A 22,204-nucleotide genomic window follows, 5' to 3' on the forward strand; every position below is an offset into this window, starting at 1 on the left:
GAGTCCAGAAACAGACCCAAATATATGACCATTCATTTATTAACAAAGTCCCCACGCAATTCAATGGGAAAAGAAAGGTGTTGTTTTTTTCAATAAATGTGTAGAGTAGATGGATGTCCATATACAAAATAAATCTTGATCCCCCCCTCACACCATACACAAAAATCAACTGGTGATAATCACAGATCCAACAGCTAAAACTATAAAGTTTCTGGAGGAAAACAAAGGCAAATGTCTTCAAAATCTTGAGAGTGGGCTGGGCGCGGTGGCTCACACCTGTAATCCCAGCACTTTGGGAGGCCAAGGCGGGTGGATCACGAGGTCAGGAGATCAAGACCATCCTGGCCAACGCGGTGAAACCCCGTCTGTACTAAAAATACAAAAAATTATCCAGGCATAGTGGTGGGTGCCTGTAGTCCCAGCTACTCGGGAGGCTGAGGCAGGAGAATGGCATGAACCTGGGAGGCGGAGTTTGCAGTGAGCCGAGGTCGTGCCACTGCACTCCAGCCTGGGTGATAAAGTGAGACTCCATCTCAAAAAAAAAAAAAAAAGAGAATAAATAGGCAAACTTCAGGGTAGAAAATTCCTGCAAACATATACCCAAGAAAGATTCCCTATCCAGATTATATTAGGAACTAAAAATCATTAACAAAAAGGTAACCTAATTTTTAAAAAATGGGCAAAATATTTCAATAGGCAGGTGATAAAGGAAATCTAAATAGCTGATTAAGATATTTTAAGATGTTCAACATTATTAGTGTTTATGGAAATGCAACCAACCTACCAAAAACCATCAATTCAACTCCTTGGTATATAGCTGAGAGATATATGTCTACCAACGGAAGTTGGAAGAACATTCCTCACAATTCAATTCTTAATGGCCCAACAATGAAAACAACTCAAATGTTAATCGACAAGAAAATGAATAAGTAAATTGCTCATATTATATATCCACATAATGTAATACCGTAGAAGAGGTGTCAATAAATTTTTTTCTGTAAATGGCCACGTGGTAAATAGTTTAGGCTTTGTGGGCCATATGGCCTCTATAACAACTACTCAACTCTGCCAAATGGGGATAACTATGTTCCAGTAATTTTTTTTTTTTTTAAGATGGGGTCATCTCACTGTCACCCAGGCTGCAGTGCAGTGGCATGATCGTAGTTCACTGTAAGCTCGAACTCCTGAGCTCAAGAGATTCTCCTGCCTCAGCCTCTTGACTGGCTGGAATTATAGACAGGAGCCATGGAACACAGCCCAATAAAATTTTATAAACAGAAACATGCAGTGGGTTGGAATTGGCCCACAGGCCATAGTTTGCCAACCCTTGATACAAAGCAAAAATAAAAAACAAACAAAAATTCTTATACATGCAACATGGATGAATACAATGTGAACAAAAGAATAAACTGTATGACTCCGTTTATATGAAGTTTAAAAACATTTGAAAATAATACATGGTCATAGAAATCGGGACAGTAGTTGACTGGGGGAAGCGAGTGGCTCCATTGATAGGAAGGGGCAGAAGGAATGAAAATGTTTTATATGTTTATCTGGGTAGTAATCACAAAGGTATACACATATGTAAATTTCACCAAGCTACACACTTTTTTTTGTTGTACATAAATTATAGAACTAAAAAACATATGTAGAATTCAACATGGATAAAAAATATATTAAATACATTAAATCTACCTTAAAAGATGTGGGTGATAGAGTGAGGAAGTCTAACAGAAGTCTAATCATAGCTCCTAAAGAATAGGACAAAAATGTGTGAAAATAAAGAGATAAAAGACAAAACTTTCCTGAATTAATGAAACATAAACCTTAGAGACAGGAGATTTTATTCATATATATATATACATTTATATAAATATATTTAATTTTTATATAAACTCTACAGAGAGATTATATATAATCTATATATAAAGTGTATGTGTATATATTATATATATACACACACCTACATACATTGCCTCAAAAGTCTGTGAGTACAAATTATTCTTGATGATACAAGGAGCAGTTAAAACCATAAAGCAATTCTCGAATTTCAAAGAATTGTTGGCCTTGACACGTATGCTAACTACAGTGCAAATTAGAAATCAGTAACAAAAGGATAACTCACAAAACCTTCCACATTGGAACTAGACTACTTTCTACAAATCTCTTAGGGGAAGAAAAAATATCACAATGAAAAAATCTTAAATTCTTAGAACTGAACAATATACTACATAGAAAGCAGCAGTAAATGAAAATCTGCAGTATTTTCAAATGACAAATAAACCAGGATTAACAGCCTGGAAATAAGCCCAAACATATCTGGGTACTGTATGTGACAGAAGTGGCACTGCTAATCACTGATATTGGGACAATTACCTTTTCATGTGGGAATCTGAAAATTAATTAAGCTTGATCTCATAACATAAAATATATACATCTCAATATATACATGTCTCAGGTAAATTAAAGAACAAAATGTGGACAAAACATAAACTTAAAAATTCTTAGAAAAATATTCAGAATACATTTCATTAATAGTAGAGTATCTTAAGACAAAAAGCATAAGGATTAATGTCTACAGTTTAATATCTGCAAGTATATAACAAATATTTGTATCCAGAATGTTTTCCAATATAAATTTCTGCAATGATGGAAATATTCTGTTCTATAATGTATAATGTAAAATATATAACATAATAAAATATAATAAAATATTAAAGTCATATGAGGCTATTGAGCACTAAAAATGTGGCCTGAAAGAACTGAGGAACAGAAATTATTGAGGTAAATACAATATGTTAGCATTTTAAAACGCTGAAAGTCTGTAAAGTTCTGTGATTTTTATATACTTTTTAGTATTTCGTTTTTCATAACAAAATTTGATTTTAGCTAAAATTACTATATAAAATATTCCAGTTGTGTACAAAACATGTAAATGTGACTTTTGGGAAAGCAAACACACCAAATGATGTTTTCTCCTAAATGCTTTTTGAAATATTATAAATTAAGTTATAAGAATACATAAAGAATAATTTAATGAATACTGGTATGTCCACCATGGAATTTATGAAATAAAACATTACTGATAAATTCCCTAGGTACTCCTCCCTGAGCAAGATTTTTTTTTTCTAAAAAGAAGCCAGGAAATAAGAATAACAGACGGAGAGCCCTAGACTCAGGCTTCTTCAGTTTGCAACACCCATATTTTAACATATTTGGGGGGAAATGTAACATTCAAACCCAGTGTGTATCATTTAACAAAGAGTTACAAAGCAAACACCCATGTAACCATTGCACAGGTCAGGCGATAAAGCATTTCCAGCATCTCTGAGCCCCTGACCCTCTCCTCCCCACTAGGAGATGACCATTAGCTTGACTTTTTTTCTTTACTACTTTTAATGCCTATACATGCATCCCTAAACAACAGCTTTGCTCCACCAGGTTCTGAATTTTACATAGAAGATATCACACAGCATTCTCCGGCAACTTTTTTTTTTTTTGGTTCAACACTGAAAGGCATTTGTGTTGAAACACAAAAATACTTCATTGGCCACTGTACAGTGTGCCCTTTTTATGAGTGGTGTATAATTTATCTTTCTCCTTCAGGTAGGCATGAAGGCGGCATCCAGTTTTCTGCCATTACAGTCAACCTTCTTGTACACGTCTGCTTGTGGACATGTATTAAAATTTATCTAGGGCAGTGGCTTTCAAACTTTTTTGTCCATGACTCATACTAAGGAATGACGTTTTACATCATGACACACATTTGTGTATGTATGAAACTGAGGAGGGGGAGAGAGATTCATAAAGCGAACACCCCTATGACCTGAGAGACACTGATGTTCTATTCTCCGTCTGTGTTTTACAAATTCTGATCATCCATTTAAATGACTTTACGACCCACTAAAATGGACTTCAAATTCTGAAAAACATTGTTCTTAAGGATGAATACCCAGGCGTGCAACTGCTGGATCAGGAAACACGGACATCGGACGTCGTCAACTTTTCCAGATCCTTAACTGTTAAATGTTCTTATCTAAGCGCATATAAATTTACCACTATTTAACTTCAGAGCGAAAAGCGTGAAACATCAGAGAACATTTTATCTTTTCCCTCGGTCATTAAACAGTATTAATCACTTACCATGTGCTAAGTAAGCAATCTCTGAGCCCAGCGAGACCGGTGGGTTAATACGCGGAGGGGCTGCGGGGGAGGACTTAGGGGACCAGGACCTCAGTGAGGCCCCAGAAAGCACCCGGGAGGGGCCTCCGATCCTGCCTGGGAGGGAGGGGTTAGAGGAGGATTCCTGGAAGAAGGAGGACCTAAGCTGGGTGTTTCTATTTTTGATTTTTATTGGTTTCCTAAAACATGAAAGTAACACATTTGATGAGAAAAAATATTCAAAATTACAGGAGTATATTCAGTAAAAGGTAGAAATCCCCATTCCGCCCTGAAAGTTGGATGCGGAGACTAACAGAAGTCGCATTATCAGCTGTCCCGATCTAGGAAATTTTTAGGACCCCACGTTTTTAAATACTTTTAAGAGTATGTCTGATACAGTCTGTAATACTAAAGCATCAAAATAATCATATTTTCCATAAGAGACGAAAGTGCAAACAGTTACTGTCTAGTCCCATTATTACTTGGAACAGACTTTTTCTTCTTTTCCTTGTTCTGTTTTTTTCCTGGCCCGTTGGCGAGGTTAGAGCGCCAGGTTGTAAGAATCGGGTCTGTGGACCTCATACCAGATAGGCGCGAACGCCTCTGGCAGCGGCGTCCAGGGGGTCCGGCGGCACTCGCGGTGGGGCTGCCTGGGTTGCGGGTGACGATCTGCGGGGTCCCGCACCCGGCCCCGCGGAGCCCGGACCCGCACGTAGGCGGCGCGGCAAAGGCACACCCTCCTCGCGGCCGCGAACCCAGCGCCGTCCTCGCAGCGCGGCAATGCACGGCCACCGCTGCCCCCAGCCCGCCCGCCGCAGCCGCGAGCACCCAAACACCTACCCTGCGGGGCGACGACCCCCGGAGCTCAGGCGAGGCCGCTCGGGCGTGCCACCTCCGCGGCCATGACGGCGACCCGGGGAAGCGCCCCGCGCGCCAAGGCCCCGCGCTGCTGAGCTGTGAGCACGGCTGCCCCGTCCGTCCGTCCGTCCAGCACCCGCCCGGAGAGTGAGGCCAGAGCACGCCCCAGCCGTGTCTAAATCAAGGCTCGGGGCGGTACCGACGGGCTGAATGACAAATGGCAGATGCCGTGGGCTTTGCCGCCCGCGGCAGCCAAGAGGATGGCTGCGCCGAGGAGGCCGCGCGCAGGCGGGGCTCGGGAGCCGGAACGGCGCGGCCGCGAGGAGGGCGCTGGGGCCCCTGGCGGGGGCGTCACGTGGCAGGAGGAGGCCCCGCCGGGGAGCTGGGGGTCGGCGGCCGAGGCGGGGGGAGCTGAGCGGCACCCACACGTCCTGCGGGCCGGGTCACCGGTGGGGGCAAAGCCAAGGTCGCCCAGGTACAGCGCTGGCGCAGGTAGACCCGAGCCGGCCTGGGGTCTGCAGCGGGGCCTGCTAGCCGAAGTCTCCGCCAGGATGGGCCGCCAGAGCCCAATCACACATGAGAAACGCGACAGATGCTGGGACGCTGCAATAGGCCAAACTAACTTACCTCCTGTGCCAGCAGCGCCCAAGTGCAGCTGCCCAAACGTGAGCACTGACCGTGAGCCAGGCACTGTCCTAAGCACTTTGCAGGTAAATACGTGTAATCCTCACAGCAACACTGGGAGAAATACCCGTCTCACAGCTGAAGAAACGAAGACGCAGAAAGGGTAGACAGAAGTAATTTTCTAATTACGGTATCACACTACGTCTGCTTCATATAATTTCAAATTTTTCATGTTACTGGAATTTAAGAAAAATAAACTGAAGGGAATCTCTATTGCTTTCTTCCCTAAAAGACGTGCTTTTTAAAAGGCCTATAAGCATTACGTAAAAAGATTAAGAGAGGTGTAAGGAGCTCACTACATGTTCGGGTTTAGAAAGTCTCATAGCTCTGAAAGATGAGGTTAATTAGCATCATACACCTCCACCTACCTTTAGGGGGTAACCCTGCCTCTCAATTTCCATTAGTTCTGTTACTTTCGGCTTCCTAGCAATGAGAACATTTGCAATTGCTCTGCAACTTTATTTTTCCAGATGTTGTCTTAATTCTATCTTTAAATGAATTTGATATTCACTGTAACTTATCTATCCCTGAATTTTTATTTTTATTTAGTTCTTGATGGACTTCCTTCATTTTCAAGTCATATTCCTAAGGAGGGTTTATAGAGTGCTGCCATGTTTGAGAAGATCTGGTGTTTTTCTCTATACATAAATAAAAAGTGAGTTGGGTAAATATTTTCAATTCACACCTTCCTTCAAAACCTAACAGAACAAGATGGCAATTGCTTTATTTATTTTTTTATTATACTTTAAGTTTTGGGATACATGTGCAGAACGGGCAGGTTTGTTACATAGGTATACACATGCCATGGTGGTTTGCTGCACTCATCAACCCGTCATCTACATTAGGCATTTCTCCTAATGCTATCCCTACCCCACTAGCCCCCCACTCCCCAACAGGCCCCAGTGTGTGATGTTCCCCTCCCTGAGTCCATGTGTTCTCATTGTTCAACTCCCACTTATGAATGAGAACATGCGGTGTTTAGTTTTCTGTTCCTGTGTTAGTTTGCTGAGAATGATGGTTTCCAGCTTCATCCATGTCCCTACAAAGGACATGAACTCATCCTTTTTTATGGCTGCATAGTATTCCATGGTGTATATGTGCCACATTTTCTTAATCCAGTCTATCACCAATGGCCATTTGGGTTGATTCCAAGTCTTTGCTATTGTGAATAGTGCTTCAATAAACATACGTGTGCATGTGTCTTTACAGTAGAATGATTTATAATTCTTTGGGTATATACCCAGTAATGAGATTGCTGGGTCAAATGGTATTTCTGGTTCTAGATCCTTGAGGAATTGCCACACTGTCTTCCACGATGGTTGAACCAATTTACACTCCCACCAACAGCGTAAAAGCGTTCCTATTTCTCCACATCCTCTCCAGCATCTGTTGTTTCCTGACTTTTTAATGATTATCATTCTAACTGGCATGAGATGTTACCTGATAAGCAACTTCAGCAAAGTCTCAGGATACAAAATCAATGTGCAAAAATCACAAGCATTCCTATACCCCAATAGTAGACAAATAAGAGAGCCAACACATGAGTGAACTCTGATTCACAATGGCGACAAAGAGAATAAAATACCTAGGAATACAACTTACAAGAGATGTGAAGGACCTCTTCAAGGAGAACTACAAACCACTGCTTAAGGAAATCAGAGAGGACACAAACAAATGGAAAAACATTCCATGCTCATGGATTGGAAGAATCAATTATCATGAAAATTGCCATACTGCCCAAAGTAATTTATAGATTCAATGCTATCCCCATCAAGCTACCATTGACTTTCTTCACAGAATTAGAAGAAACTACTTTAAATTTCATATGGAACCAAAAAAGAGCCCGTATAGCCAAGACAATCCTAAGCAAAAAGAACAAAGCTGGAGGCATTACACTACCTGACTTCAAACTACACTACAAGGCTACAGTAACCAAAACTGCATGGTACTGGTACCAAAACAGATATATGGACCAATGGAACAGAACAGAGTCCTCAGAAATAACACCACACATCTACAACCATCTGATCTGTGACAAACCTGACAAAAACAAGCAATAGGTAAAAGATTCCCTAGTTAATAAATGGTGTTGGGAAAAACTGGTTAGCCATATGCAGAAAACTGAAACTGGACCGCTTCGTTACACCTTATACAAAAATTAACTCAAGATGGACTAAAGACTTAAAACATCAGACCTAAAACCATAAAAAGCCTAGAAGAAAACCTAGGCAATACCATTCAGGACATAGGCATGGGCAGAGTTCATAACTAAAACACCAAAAGCAATGGCAACAAAAGCCAAAATTGACAATTGGGATCTAATTAAACTAAAGAGCTTCTGCACACCAAAAGAAACTATCATCAGACTGAACAGGCAACCTACAGAATGGGAGAAAATTTTTGCAATTATCCATCTGACAAAGGGCTAATATCCAGAATCTACAAAGCACTTAAACAAATTTATAAGAAAAAAACAACTCCATCAAAAAGTGGGCAAAGGATATGAACAGACACTTCTCAAAAGAAGACATTTATGTGGCCAACAAACATATGAAAAAAGCTCATCATTACTGGTCATTAGAGAAATGCTTCAAAGATTTCTGTGGAAAGATCTTAATCCCATGTAATTTTCCCCTTGGAGGTGGCTTGATTTTTCTGCTTGGATACCTGAAGAATTCTTTAACATTAATATACCCTTTAGTATTCTTATCTGGGCTATGCCTCTGTGTCAGTTATTCTAGATCAATTTTTCCCCCCAGCATACAGTATGATCTTCCAATTTATAGATTATGTTCTTTTCTAATGTCCCATGTATATTATATATCTGAATACGCTGCTTTTTCAGGGCTGAATGTTGTTTCTATCTACTTGTTCTGTGATCCAAGGTTTTTCGGACAAGGAGAGGTGGGGGAAAAGGGGATGTGTGGAATTCAGCTCAGACAGAGTATAAAGCTTGCTGGAGGAACTCAACCTTCACATCTGAGATTCCTTTAAGTCCTCTGGCAGCTGGACTTCAAGCTAGCCAAGGGAACATCCCATGCCTCAGAGTTTCAGTTCATTTGCTCAGTTCAGCACAGTATCCCAGAAAGTGGGAAACTTTCCTGCCTCTGGCAAGATCCAACAGTGGTATGCAAAGGTTCCTCAACATCTCACAGGTGTGCCCTGCCTTTCCACATTGGGGGACGTTTGTGAGAATTCTTAGGATTTGGTCTGATCATCTTTTTCCTCAACATGTCTTGCAGCGGTGGGTGGAGGGCTGGGCAGACATAGGTTCATCTGGAGACAAAGCACGCCTCCATAGAATCTTCTGTTCTCTTTGTTTTTGCTATCAATTCTCAAATTTTACATTATAAGGTTGTACTTTTTTCTTCTTTGGTTGCAGCATGTAAGTTTTTTGTTGCTTTCTTTCCTTTGGGTGATTTAGTGTTTTGTTTTGTTTTTGAGACAGAGTCTCGCTCTGTCACCCAAGCTGGAGTACAGTGGCATGATCTTGGCTCACCGCAACCTGCCTCCCGGGTTCAAGCAATTCTCCTGTCTCAGCCTCCTGAGTAGCTGGGATTATAGGCGTGCACCATCACAACCGGCTAATTTTTGTATTTTTAGTAGAGGCTGGTATGGGGGTGCTGGGTTGGGGGGAAGTTCGCCATGTTAGCCAGGCTGGTCTCAAACTCCTGACCTCAGGTGATCCGCCTGTCTCAGTCTCCCAAAGTGCTGGGATTACAGACGTGAGCCACCATGCCTGGATGATTTAGTATTTTAATTTTGATTTTTTTAGTGCTTCCTTGTGCCATCTTTATCCAGAAGTCAGTCAAGCAGTCTTTCTTTCTCACTGGTAATGAACTATATGAAATCCTTTTTTATCTTTAGGTTATTTCCACAGTGGTCTCTTTGAACATGACTATGTTGACCTGGTAGCTGTGACACACTCTTTTTCTCCTGAGCTTTCCCTCAATGACGCATGCTTTGGCATTACAGCATGCCCTAGCAAAGCTTCTGGAGCAGGGGTTGCAAACTCAAATCTCTACAAAGTTTAAAACAGTGAGGAACAATGGGACTGTGGTAAAGTGAAAAGGACATTCTTTGTGTAAGGGGCAGATGCTCAGCTCAGGCCAATGGCTGCCATGTTTGAACTCAGGGCAGGGTTGCCACATCTGCATAATTTTCAAGGGAAGTATGCTATCTAACATTTTAATATAAAATCTTCTAATTTTGGAAACACTGCAGAGGCCACATGAAGTATTTCTCCAGGTCAAACTGGACCCAAGGGTTGCCAGCGTGGTCACTGTAGTAGACAGAACCCCTCAGGACAAATTCCATAATCACACTTTTTCTCTAAGTATTTGGAGATTCCATTTTATTCTGCAGACTATTGAATGACTTCTTAACATTTCTTCAGCAAATGCAGAACAAGAAAATTCATGCTGACACATCTATAGGTTGATACAATGTGTCAGGACCCAACACTTTCAGGAACAGGTGTTACCAGGGGTAACAGCTATGATGGGGCTAAAATTAATACCACATGGGCAGACAATCATACAGATTATGCCCACATTAACAAAATAATGGAGGGGGAAAATGTTATTTTCAATTGATGCAAAAAGAGCATTTGACAACTACACCCCATCCTGAAAAAAATGACAACTAGGAATGGAATGGAACTTCCTTAGCCAGATAGTGGCTATATTTTATCCTATAGCTGCCATAACAAATTACCACAAACTGGTGGCATAAAACATGAAATTTATTTTCTGAGTCCGAAAGGCCAGAAGTCTGAAATCAAGATATCAGCAAAGGCCGCAGGCGCCATCTAGTGGCTCTAGTGGAGATTCCTTCCTCACAACTTCCAGCTTTTGGTGACCACTGCCATTCCCTGGCTTCCTCGGCTTCCTTGGCTTGCGGCCACAGCATGCCAATCTCTGCCTCCATCTTCACAACGCCTTCTCTGTGCGTGCCATGTGCTTTCTCCTGTGTGTATCTCTCTTATAGGGGTAGATGTCACTGTACTTAGGACTCACTGAAATAACTGAAGGTGGTCTCCTCATTTCAAGATCCGTAACTTAAGTCACATCTGCAAAGACCCTTTTATTCAACTCAGGTTACATTCTGAGATTCCAGAGATTAGGACACAAATATTTTCGAGGGTCATCAGTCAGTCCTCATGTCAAAGTTGACATGGGCAAAATCCATGTCAGCTTTGCTATAGAAATTGACAAGCTGATTCTAAACTTTATATGGAAATGAAAAGAACCTAGAAGAGAAAAAATAATCTTAAAAAGAAAAACAAAGTTGGAAGGCTTATGCTATCTGATTTTTACGCCTACTATAAGGCTAGACTAATCAAGACAATAGGGTAATGGCTGGGCATGGTGGCTCACACCTGTATCCCAGCAATTTGGGAGGCCGAGGCGGGCAGATCATTTGAGGTCAGGAGTTCAAGACCAGCTTGGCCAACATGGCAAAACCCCATCAATACTAAAAATGCAAAATTTGCCAGGCATAGTGGTGCACACCTGTAATCCCAGCTACTCAGGAGGCTAAGGCAGGAGAATTGCTTTAACCTTAAGGTGGAGGTTGCAGTGAGCCAAGATTGCACCACTGCACTCCAGCCTAGGCGACAGAGCAAGACTCTGTCTCAAAAAAATAAAAATAAAAAAAAGACAGTCGGGTACTGACATAAGGGTACCGACAGTAGGGTACTGACAAAAGACAGCAGGGTACTGACATAAGAAAAAACAATAGTGTATTGAGTCCAGAAATAGACCCACACATAAGATCTATTGGGTTTTGTTTGTTTGTTTGTTTGGAGACACAGTCTGGCTCTGTCGCCCAGGCTGGAGTACCGTGACATGATCTCGGCTCACTGCAGCCTCCACCTCCCAGTTTCAAGTGATTCTACTGCCTCAGCCTCCAGAATAGCTCGGACTACAGAGAGATGCCACGGCACCCAGCTAATTTTTGTATTTTTAGTAGAGACAGGGTTTTGCCACGTTGCCCAGGCTGGTCTCAAACTCCTAGACTCAAGTGATCTGAGCACCTCGGCCTCCCAAGGTGCTGAGATTACAGGTGTGAGCCACTGTCCCCAGCCTAGATCTATTGGTATTTTGACAGAGGTATAACATAATTCCATTGGAAAGAGATAAATGGTGTGGGAACTGGTTATCTATATAGAGAAAAAAATAAACTTCTACATGCATTTCACGCCATTCACAAAAAACGAATCAAGTGAAATCTCAGACCTAAATAAAAAGCAGGAACTATAAAACTTCTGGAATCACCTTGTTCAATACAGTACCCATAAGCCATGTATGGCTATGACGTAGCTAGTTCAAACTGAAATGTGCTACAAGTGTAAAATATACTCTGGCTTTCAAAGACTTGGGATTTTTTAAAAATGTAAAATATCCTATTAATTTTTATATTGATTACATGTTGAAATAATATTTTAGATATATTGCATATAATTCAAAGTAACTTAAACTATTTTTAAAACGTGGCTACTGGAACATTTTAAATTACCTATCTAGCTTACATGATATTTCTGTTTGACAACACTGTTTTAGAAGAAAACCTAGGGATAGGCAGAGACTGGCTGGACAGGACACAAGAAGCAATGACCCTAAAAGAATAAACTGGCAATTGGATTTTACTAAAATAAAACCTGATCTTTAAAAGAGACCATTAAGGAAAAAAATCTAAGCCACATGGGAAAAAGTCTTCACAATGCATATATCTGACATAGGACTTGCACTAAAATATTTGAAGAACCCAATAATACAATAAACAATACACTTCACTAAATAAGACATGTGAAGGGCCAAGAAGTCCAAGAATGACATTAAACATCATTTCCCCAATGATTAATGCAAATCAAAACTACAGTGAAATACCGCTACATACCCACTGGAAAGGCTAAAGTTGAAAAGACTGAAAATACCAAGGGTTGGTGACAATGTGGAAAAACTGGAACTCTCGCACATTGCTAGAAGAAATATAAAATGATACAGCCACTTTGGAAAACAGTTTGAAAGTTTCTTATAAAGTTAAACATACTCTTATTATATGACCCAGCAATCTCAGTCTTAGGTATTTTATCCAAGAGAAATGATAACATGTCTGTGGAAAGACTTAAATGCAAATATTCATATTCTCTCCAAACTGAAAACAACTCAAATATCAGTAATAAAATGGGCAAACTGCTGATACTGTCAACACAGATGAATCAAAACAACAACAACACTGTGCGGAGTCAAAGAAATCATATTGTATTAGTCAGGGTTCTCTAGAGGGACAGAACTAATAAGAGATATACATATGTGTATATATATATATACACACACATATACATATGAGTTTATTAAGTATTAACTTACATGATCACAAGGTCCCACAATAGGCTGTCTGCAAGCTGAGGAGAAAGGAGAGCCAGTCCGAGTCCCAAAACTGAAGAACTTGGAGTCTGATGTTAGAGGGCAGGAAGCATCCAGCATGGGAGAAAGATGTAGGCTGGGAGGCTAGGCCAGTCTCTCCTTTTCACATTTTTCTGCCTGCCTTACATTCGCTGGCACCTGACTAGATTATGCCCACCAGATTAAGGGTGGATCTGCCTTCCCCAGACCACTGACTCAAATATTAATCTCTTTTGGTAACACTCTCACAGACACACCTAGGATCAATACTTTGTATCTTTCAATCCAATCAAGGTGACAGTCAGTATTAACCATCATAATATGTAAACGACACATGGTCCCATTCATAGGAAATTTTAGAAACACAAAATTATAGTCTTTCTAAAGCAGATCAATAGTTTTCTACAGTGGAAGGAGGGGAGGTGTTGGAGAATTTTACAAGGTGATAGAAATGTTCTACCTCTTGGTTAGTAAGAAGATTGCATTGGGGCTATGTATTTGTCATACTGCACTGAATGATACACCTAAAATACATCCACTTGATTACATGCAAATCATACTTCAGTAAGTGTCATTAAATTATTTCCTTTCTTATTTGGATAGGATGAGGAGAAATCACATGAGATTGGTTTTATCTCTATTACCAGCAATTTGAATTAGAATTGACCTTCTGCTGTTTTTTTTGTTGTGAGCTTTTTCATTAGCACTCTCTTGTGCATTATCAGTCTGTTTTCTAACCTGTGAGGGTGTCAGTGGCAGAGGTGAAACCTGACCTAGAGCCTTCTCTTGGACTCCTAATCCAGTGTTCTTTTATAATAGTAAGCAGCCACAGAGAACAGCCTCATTATGGCATTTACAGTCCTTCAAACAGATTGTGCACCATAAAAACTCGAAAAAATCTTTTAGTGTGTTCAACTCAACAGATATTCAACAAATGCTTAGATTTAATTTTCTCTAATCACAATATAAATAACCCTTAAAAACCTGTATACATATGTAGTTTTTTTTTAAAGCGCATCGCTTCTGGCCAAACTACCTCTTGCTGGTCTTATTGCTGGCCATCCTCAAACTTCAAGTCTCTTCTCCTTTTTTTGAAACTGTAATCTTGGCTCAGAGGATTCCTGCCCCCTTCCCTCCTCTTGCCACTATTTGCAATGACTTCTCCATCTAGGTATCACTTCCCCAACAAGGGCTCCCATGATAACATCTTTGAAGTTTTCCCCAAGCAAAACTGACTAATGTCCATTTCTATCTTCAACTGACTGACATTTAGTCAACATAGAAGACTCACAAGGTGAAGTCTGGCACCTCTACTAAAATGTCCTACTTTACGTGATAAAGTTTTTCCATGTACTCATTATCGAGCCTGCTCAAGGGAGGACTTTGGCACCTGGGTGGTTAAATGCCTCTGCTAGTTGCCCCATCATCCTGGGCCAATTAGACAACCATGTGGGTGATTTATTCAATAGCCTAGTCTTAGAATTCCTTCACTTCCTCCTAATGGAAAACCTCCTCTCCATTTAAACAGTTCCCTGAATCCATGGCAAACCCGTAGACTTCAACAACCAGGATCTGCTCTCCCCTGGAAATCTTCAACTCCAAAATTCCCACCTCTGATCATAACTTCCTGCTCTTCCTGGTTTCTCACTCTCTCACTCACAGGATGTTTACTCTGACTGCAGTAAGACTCTCCAGTCTCCTTCACTGGATTCCCTCCTTGTTTCCACTCCTTCCCTAGCCAGCCTACACCACAAGGTTCAAGATTGTAATCATTTTCTCACCACTGTCCAGATCTTGACATCCTGTCCTTGCACCAAACCAAACTCCAAAGCTCCAGCCCCACTAATGAATGAGCACAGAAGGAATAATTTTAAAAAGTTACATTTTGTAGCCATCAGAGTAATAATGAATACATGAATTATCAATGGATGCTAAAACTACTTCGGGGAACATTGAAGAGGAATAGGATATTTATATAGTCTATATAGTCTCAAAAAAGTTAAAGAAAGAAATCCTATCATTTACAACAACATGCATGAGCCTGGAGGACATTATGTTAAGTGAAATAAGTCAGACACAAAGACAAACACAGCATGATCTTTCTTACCTGTAGAGTATAAAAAAGTGAAACTCATAGAAGTAGACAGAGAGTAGAATGCTGGTTACCAGGGGCTGGCGGGGGTGAGAGGATGGGGTAGCGGGTATTGGTCAAAGGACACAAAGTTTCAGTAAGGAGGAATAAGTTCAAGATTTCCAGTGTACACTATGGTGACTATCGTTAATATAATTTATTGTATACTTGAAAATTGCAGATTTTAGTAAGTATTCTTACCACAAAAAATAAGTATGTGACATCAGGGATTTGTTAATTAGCTTGATCTAGCCATTTGGCAAGGCATACAAATATAAAAACATGTTAGACACCATAAAATATATCATTTTTATTCATCAATTTAAAGAAAAATAATTTTTTTAAAAGTGATGTTCACTCTAACATCTAAATTCTCTCTGCAAGAACTTTAAAAAAAGTTAATATCACCAGTAATGCCACAAATTGACATGTACCTCCTAATGTGATATACTGATCAAGACACATCACATATGTAGTATTCCTGCCAAAGACGCACAAATTAAATCTTAATGATGGAATAATTAGATGAACCAAAGTCGAGGGACATTAATAAAGAGCGAGGCATAGTGGCTCATGCCTGTAATGCCAGCAACTTGGGAAGCTAAGGTGGGAGGATCACTTGAGCCCAGGAGATCAAGGCTGCACTGAGTTATGACCGCACCACTATACTCCAGCCTGGGGTACAGAGAAAGACCCTATATTTAAAACAACAACAACAACAACAAACTAGACTATGTTGCAAAAACATCAATGTTATAAAGACAAACGCTGAGATTCCAGATTAAATGAGATTACAACCACTAAACTGAATGCAATACTTCATTCTAAAGTGATCCCTGGATTTTTAAAAAATGCTATAAAGGCCAGGCACTGTGGCTCATGCCTGTAATCCCAGCACTTTGGGAGGCCAAGTGGGTGGATCACGAGGTCAGGAGTTCAAGATCAGCCTGGCCAACATGGTGAAACACCGTCTCTACTAAAAATACAAAAATTGGCCAGGCATGGTGGTGGGCGCCTGTAATCCCAGCTACCCAGGAGGCTGAGGCAGGATAGTTGCTCAAACCTGGGAGGCGGAGGTTGCAATGAGCCGATATGGCGCCACTGCACTCCAGCCTGGGTGAGAGAGGGAGACTCTCTTGAGGAAAAAAAAATGCTATAAAGACATTGAACAATTGGATAAACTTGAACATGGGCTCAACATTGAATAATAATATTGTACTAATGTTAAATTTCCTGAGTGTAATAATAGTCCTGTGGTTATGTAGGAGAATGTCATTGTTCCTAGGAGACAAATGCTGATGTAGTTAAACAATCATAAATCTAGTTTAACCTCAATCGGTTCAGCAAAATAAGTAGGCATTCTATATTACTGAATCTAAGTGGGGGGGTAGGGGAGCACATTGTACTGTTCTTCCAGCTTTTTGTTTTGAAAAATTTCAAAACCACAAAAAAGTTACTTAAAAAAAAAAAAAGGAAAACCCTCCAGCTCAGATTCAGCCATCTGATTATGATGTTCCTTTATTCAAGCTGGTAGGAACTGCTGGAACAACTCCCACAAATGTAGAAATGCATAGCTCCCAACCAAGGTATGCCTAATATTGACCAGAAATCCAGCTGAATATTTGTGTCCCCCTGCAAATTAGTATATTGAAATCATAATCCCCAATGTGATTGTATTTGAAGATGGGGTCTTTGGGAGGTAATTAGGTCATGAAGATAGAGCCCTCATGATGGGATTAGTACCCTTACACCAGAGAGCTCACTTCCTCCTTCTCTCCCTCTCTCCACTCTGTGAGGAAGCAAGAAGACCGCTGTCCACGAACTAGAAAGAGAGCCCTCACCACACACTGAATCTGACAGCACCCTAATCTTGCACTTCCCAGCTCCCAGACTGTGGGAAATAAATTCATGTTGTTTTAGCCACCTACTCTATGGACACTTCCTTGTTTGTTTGTTTGTTTGTTTGTTTGTTTAGACGGAGTCGCTCGCCCTGTTACCCAGGCTGGAGTGCAATGGTGCAATCTCGGCTCACTGCAACCTCCGCCTCTCAGGTTCAAGCAAGTCTCCTGCCTCAGCCTCCCGAGAAGCTGGGATTACAGGTGCGGGTCACCACACCCAGTTAATTTTTTGTATCTTTAGTAGGGTTGGAGTTTCACCATGTTGGCCAGGCTGGTCTCGAACTCCTGACCTTGTATCCACCCACCTCGGCCTTCCAAAGTGCTGGGATTACAGGCATGAGCCACCACGCCCGGCCCTTTGTTTGTTTTTAATGTTAATTTTATTCATTTATTTATTTTAGAGACAAGGACTTACTATGTTGCCCAGGCTGAATTCAAACTCCTGAGTTCAAGTGATCCTCCTGCCTAAGCCTCCTGAGGTGCTGGGATTACAGGTATGAGCCACTGCACCCGGCCACCACCCACTCTATATATTTGTTTTATATATCTATATATATAAAACAAACATATAACTATATATATTTATATATTATATTATATATAATATAATATATATAAAATATAATTACTATAATATAAAATATATAGTATAATTTATATAATTTATAATATAAATATATTTAATATAAAACTATAGATATAAAATACATATATATAACAAATATATGTATATATGAGCTGGTTAAGACATACATGGTACACATGAGGACACAGTGTTTAGGGAGGTTAGGGAATGTGCCAAAAATCTTCCAGCCAGTAAATAATAAAGTTAAAACTCTCTTTATGATTCCATAGCCTGTACTATGCTCCTCCCACAAAATCATTGAGACATGACAACTGGGCATAATGTAGAGCACAGAAACAGAACTAAACGGGTAAGAGGTCAAACCTATGCGGTTTGAGCAAGTTCATAACATATTATACTTGCTGAAGCTGAAAAAGGACTTCACATGCTGGATTTATTTGATAACATTGTAGAGTAGGATAAGAGTCTCTACAAGTTCTATTTCATCAGGAAATTTTAGCAATTATTACTGTATTTTTGTGTTATTGGGCTAACATTAACATCTTTTTCAAAATTATTCCATCTGTAGATAATCTTTAAGGTATTGTACACTTTGTGAACCTTTCTAATATTATGTGGCAGCTTTCCTGTTCTGCCCTTTAGGGGACATTTTTGCACGGAGAAAAACAACTTTTATAGAAATGAGACCTGCTTTTTAATGATGGAATAACTACATGGAGGAAGGATGTAGAGAAATTCTACATGCCAAATAGTTTCCTCACCTACCTACAAATGTGCAAAAGTTTGTAACACATGGTAAACATGGAGGTCATTTCTGATATCCATTTGATTTTTCTCCTATTGTGATTTTAAAGTCACTGACAGATTTATTTCATTCTGGAAGGCCATCATTACAGTTGAGCTTTTAGGCAGTGGGAGTAATGAAATTCCACAAAGAAATTAAAGACTGTCATTATGGACCATACAGTTCTTTTCCTTTGTGAAAGCAATTAGAAAGGTAAGGAGATCTAACTATACATTGGTAGCATTCCAGAAAGGTTTCAAATGGTCAGGTAGTCATGGAATCATAGAACTGAAAACTGAAAGATACTGGCTCTCTGGGAAGTAACTTAATATTCCTATTTTATAGATGAGGCAACCCAGAAAGGCTGACTAGAAAGAAATAAAAAAGGAGAGGAGAAGATAGCTTCAAAAGAGGTGATCCAACTCTCCTACCTCAGGCAGTTGCAGGGCTTTGAACCAGAGGCTGAGAATCACCAAAAGAATTTTTTAAAAACCAACATTCCAAAGACAAACCACAGATTGGTAGAATTATTTGCAAATCACATATCTGAGAAATAACTTATATTAAATATACAAAGAACACTTAAAACTAACCAATAAAAACAATCAACCTAATTAAAAGATGGGCAAAGATCTGAACAGACAGCTCACCAGAGGAGATATGTAGATGGCATGTAAGCATATGAAAAGATGTTCAGCATCATTTGTCTTTAGGAAAATCCAAATTAAAACAAGATACTAGTACATACTTACTAGAATGGCTAAATTTGTTTTTAAAAGTTGACAATACAAAATGTTAACAAGGATGCAGAGCAACAATCCATCATTGGTGATGGGAATGCAAAATGGTACAGCCACTTTGGAAGACAGTTTGGCAATTTATTACAAAGCTAAACATAGTGATATGGTTTGGCTATTTCCCTACCCAAATCTCATCTTGAATTGTAGCTCCCATAATTCCCATGTGTTGTGGGAGGGATCTGGTGCTGGTAATTGAATCATGGGGACAGGTCTTTCCCATGCTGTTCTCACAATAGTGAATAAGTTTCACCAGATCTGATGGTTTTATGAAAGGGAGTTCCCTTGCACAAGCTCTCTTGCCTGCCACCATGTAAGATGTCTCTTGCTCTTCCACCATGATTGTGAGGCCTCCCCAGCCATGTGGAACTGTGAGTCAATTAAACCTCTTTCCTTTATAAATTATGCAGTCTCAGGTATGTCTTTATTGCAGCATGAGAACAGACTAATACACACAGACTTCCCATACTACCCAGCAATCACACTCCTTGGTATTTACCCAATTGATTTGAAAACATATCCATACAAAAACCTGCACATGAATATTTATAGCAGCTTTACTCATAATTGCCAAAAACTGGGAGCAACCACAATGTCCCTCAATAGATGAATGGACAAACTATGATATATCCATAATGTGGAATATTATTCAGCAATCTAAAGGAATGAGCTATTAATTCATGCAACACCATGGAAGAAACTTAATGCATACTGCTAAGAAAAAGGAGCAAGTTTGAAAAGACTACATACTGTATGATTCCATTCACATAATATTTTGAAAAAGAGAACACTATAAACATGAAAAACAAATCAAACTCACCAGGAGTTTGTGGAAGGAAGTAGATTGACTGGGTGAACACAGAGGATTTGGGGATTTTTTTTTAGGATAGTGAAGCTATTGTGTATGATAACATAGTGGTGGATACATAACAATATGCATTTGACAAAACCTACAGAATTTTATAGCACAAAGGGTAAACCTTACCATATGCAAATCCCAGGATGGAATGCAGACAGCGACAAAAGAATCTCACTGTAATACTAATGTACGGCATAAACTCATTGAAGGGGGGCTGGGGAAAAAAAGGTGCTGATCTAAGTAACTTTGGAAATGCATAAAGACAAAAAGGAACTGCACGAAAAATAAGCACCACACTCTAATTGATAAAGTTGTTTCCCGTGGGGGTACAAATTAACAATTCCAAAACCACAGTCCATGCACAATGGGAATGGCCAAGTAAGTAATTAGATGGTAGGTGGTGGGAGCTAGGTTTCTCTGTTAGGGAAATTACAGATAAGCAAGAGGGGAAAGCTAGAATAAGCCACATAGGACTGGATTAGAGTTGGACATCATTATGAACTCATATTTAGCTTTTTTTTTTTTTTTTTTTTTTTTTTGAGACAGAGTCTTGTTCTGTTGCCCAGACTGGAGTGCAGTGGTGCAATCTTGGCTTACTGCAACCTCCGCCTCCCAGGCTCAAGTGATTGTTGTGCCTCAGCCTCCAGAGTAGCTGGGATTACAGGCACGCACAACCATGCCTGGCTAATTTTTGTATTTTTAGTAGACACGGGGTTTCACCATGTTGACCAGACTGGTCTTGAACCCCTGGCCTCAAGCAATTGGCCCGCCTCACCCTCCCAAAGTGCTGAGATTACAGGCCTCAGCCACTGCACCTGACCAGCTTTAGAAAGATACATGTGGATATATAAATAATTGTAGCTATGTGTGTATGCACAGGTTAGCATCCACCTATATATTTCCTAGCTCTGTCTACTGAGAAGGCCTACATGCAGTGACACTCTGCTGATGGTGAACACACCTGGTCAGATTTTCATGTCTAATATTATTCTCCAATAAAAGGAACCATGCCCCTTGGAGAAAGCATTCATGTGAGGGGTGGGCAGGGAATATACAAGATGTACCTTGATGATATGGTTTGGCTGTGTCCCCACCAAAATCTCACCTTGAATTGTAATAATCCCCATGTGTCAAGAGCAGGGACAGGTGGAGATCATTGAGTCATGGGGGCAGTTTCCCCCATACTGTTCTTGTGGTAGTGAATAAGTCTCATGAGATCTGATGGTTTTATAAATGGGAGTTCTCTGTACAAGCTCTCTTGCCTGCCGCCATGTAAGACGTTCCATGCACTTCTGCCATTATTGTGAGGCCTCCTTAGCCATGTGGAACTGTGAGTCAATTAAATCTCTTTCCTTTATAAATTAAGTAGTCTTAGGTATGTCTTTATTAGCAGCATGAGAACAGACTAATACACTTGAGCATCCTGAATACCAGAAAGTAAGGAAGTGCTCAAAAATAAAAACAATAATGGTGGTATGTCAAAGGGACACGAGCCAACCTGAAAGAGTTCCTAGTGACCAAAACTGAAACCATCTGAGCAACCAAATAATTCATGTAGTATTGAATTATAGCCCAAAGTATAAAATAAATATCCATGTATATCAGTATGATCCCATACTGATACAAATAATTGAATGAATAAGTAAATAAATGAGGAGGAAGAGACAAATCCTGTGCAGGGGAATTTCAAATTTATGTAGACACTCCACTCTCCAGGAGATGAGGCATAACTCCCCATTCCTTAAGCATAGGCTGCATGTACAGCCCTCCTTCCAAAGTGTACATTATAGAGGGGGGAGGGGTGACTTTGCCATGGAGAAACCAGACAAACATCACCTCAGCCAGGTGATCAAGGTCAACGTCAACAGCGACAAGTCATAGTCACAGCTGTACCCTTTTCCTTTACTTTTGTAGTCTTCCCTCAAACCCCAGTCTAACCATAAGAAAAAACATTAAACACACCCAAATTGAGGGACTTTCTACAAAATATTTGATCACCACTCTTGAAAACTATAAGGGTCATCAAAAGAAAAAAGG

General features: G+C 40.2%; 1 protein-coding gene and 1 long non-coding RNA gene across 25 annotated transcripts in view, besides 3 other annotated features; both read right to left on the bottom strand.

Annotated features, from left to right (window-relative positions):
• The window catches only part of PLAGL1 (PLAG1 like zinc finger 1), a 124,300-nt gene that overhangs the window by 62,789 nt on the left and 39,307 nt on the right, over positions 1–22,204 (bottom strand). For 14 of the 24 annotated variants that reach the window (NM_001289047.2, NM_001289049.2, NM_001317160.2 and 11 more), the window contains exon 1: positions 5,002–5,171. The exons of the other annotated variants lie outside the window; for them this stretch is intronic. The gene's annotated coding sequence lies outside the window, so the exon portion shown is untranslated. Of the gene's footprint in view, positions 1–5,001; positions 5,172–22,204 lie in introns of those variants that run through there. 24 annotated transcript variants of the gene reach the window in all.
• On the bottom strand, positions 1,828–5,171 carry HYMAI (hydatidiform mole associated and imprinted). Its single transcript, NR_002768.3, has one exon. It is a non-coding gene; the product is annotated as a hydatidiform mole associated and imprinted (long non-coding RNA).
• Positions 4,600–4,782: a silencer, noted in NCBI's record as "fragment chr6:144328825-144329007 (GRCh37/hg19 assembly coordinates)". NCBI's record gives its function as "represses an EF-1alpha promoter that drives an FKBP-Casp9 reporter gene in an ReSE screen in K562 erythroleukemia cells {active_cell/tissue: K562}" and the evidence as "EXISTENCE:reporter gene assay evidence [ECO:0000049][PMID:32094911]".
• Positions 4,978–5,167: a silencer, noted in NCBI's record as "silent region_17632". NCBI's record gives its function as "represses an Ori minimal core promoter by ATAC-STARR-seq in GM12878 lymphoblastoid cells {active_cell/tissue: GM12878}" and the evidence as "EXISTENCE:reporter gene assay evidence [ECO:0000049][PMID:35858748]".
• Positions 5,358–5,407: a silencer, noted in NCBI's record as "silent region_17633". NCBI's record gives its function as "represses an Ori minimal core promoter by ATAC-STARR-seq in GM12878 lymphoblastoid cells {active_cell/tissue: GM12878}" and the evidence as "EXISTENCE:reporter gene assay evidence [ECO:0000049][PMID:35858748]".

Source organism: Homo sapiens, chromosome 6, assembly GCF_000001405.40.
Source record: "Homo sapiens chromosome 6, GRCh38.p14 Primary Assembly".
Lineage (NCBI taxonomy): Eukaryota > Metazoa > Chordata > Mammalia > Primates > Hominidae > Homo > Homo sapiens.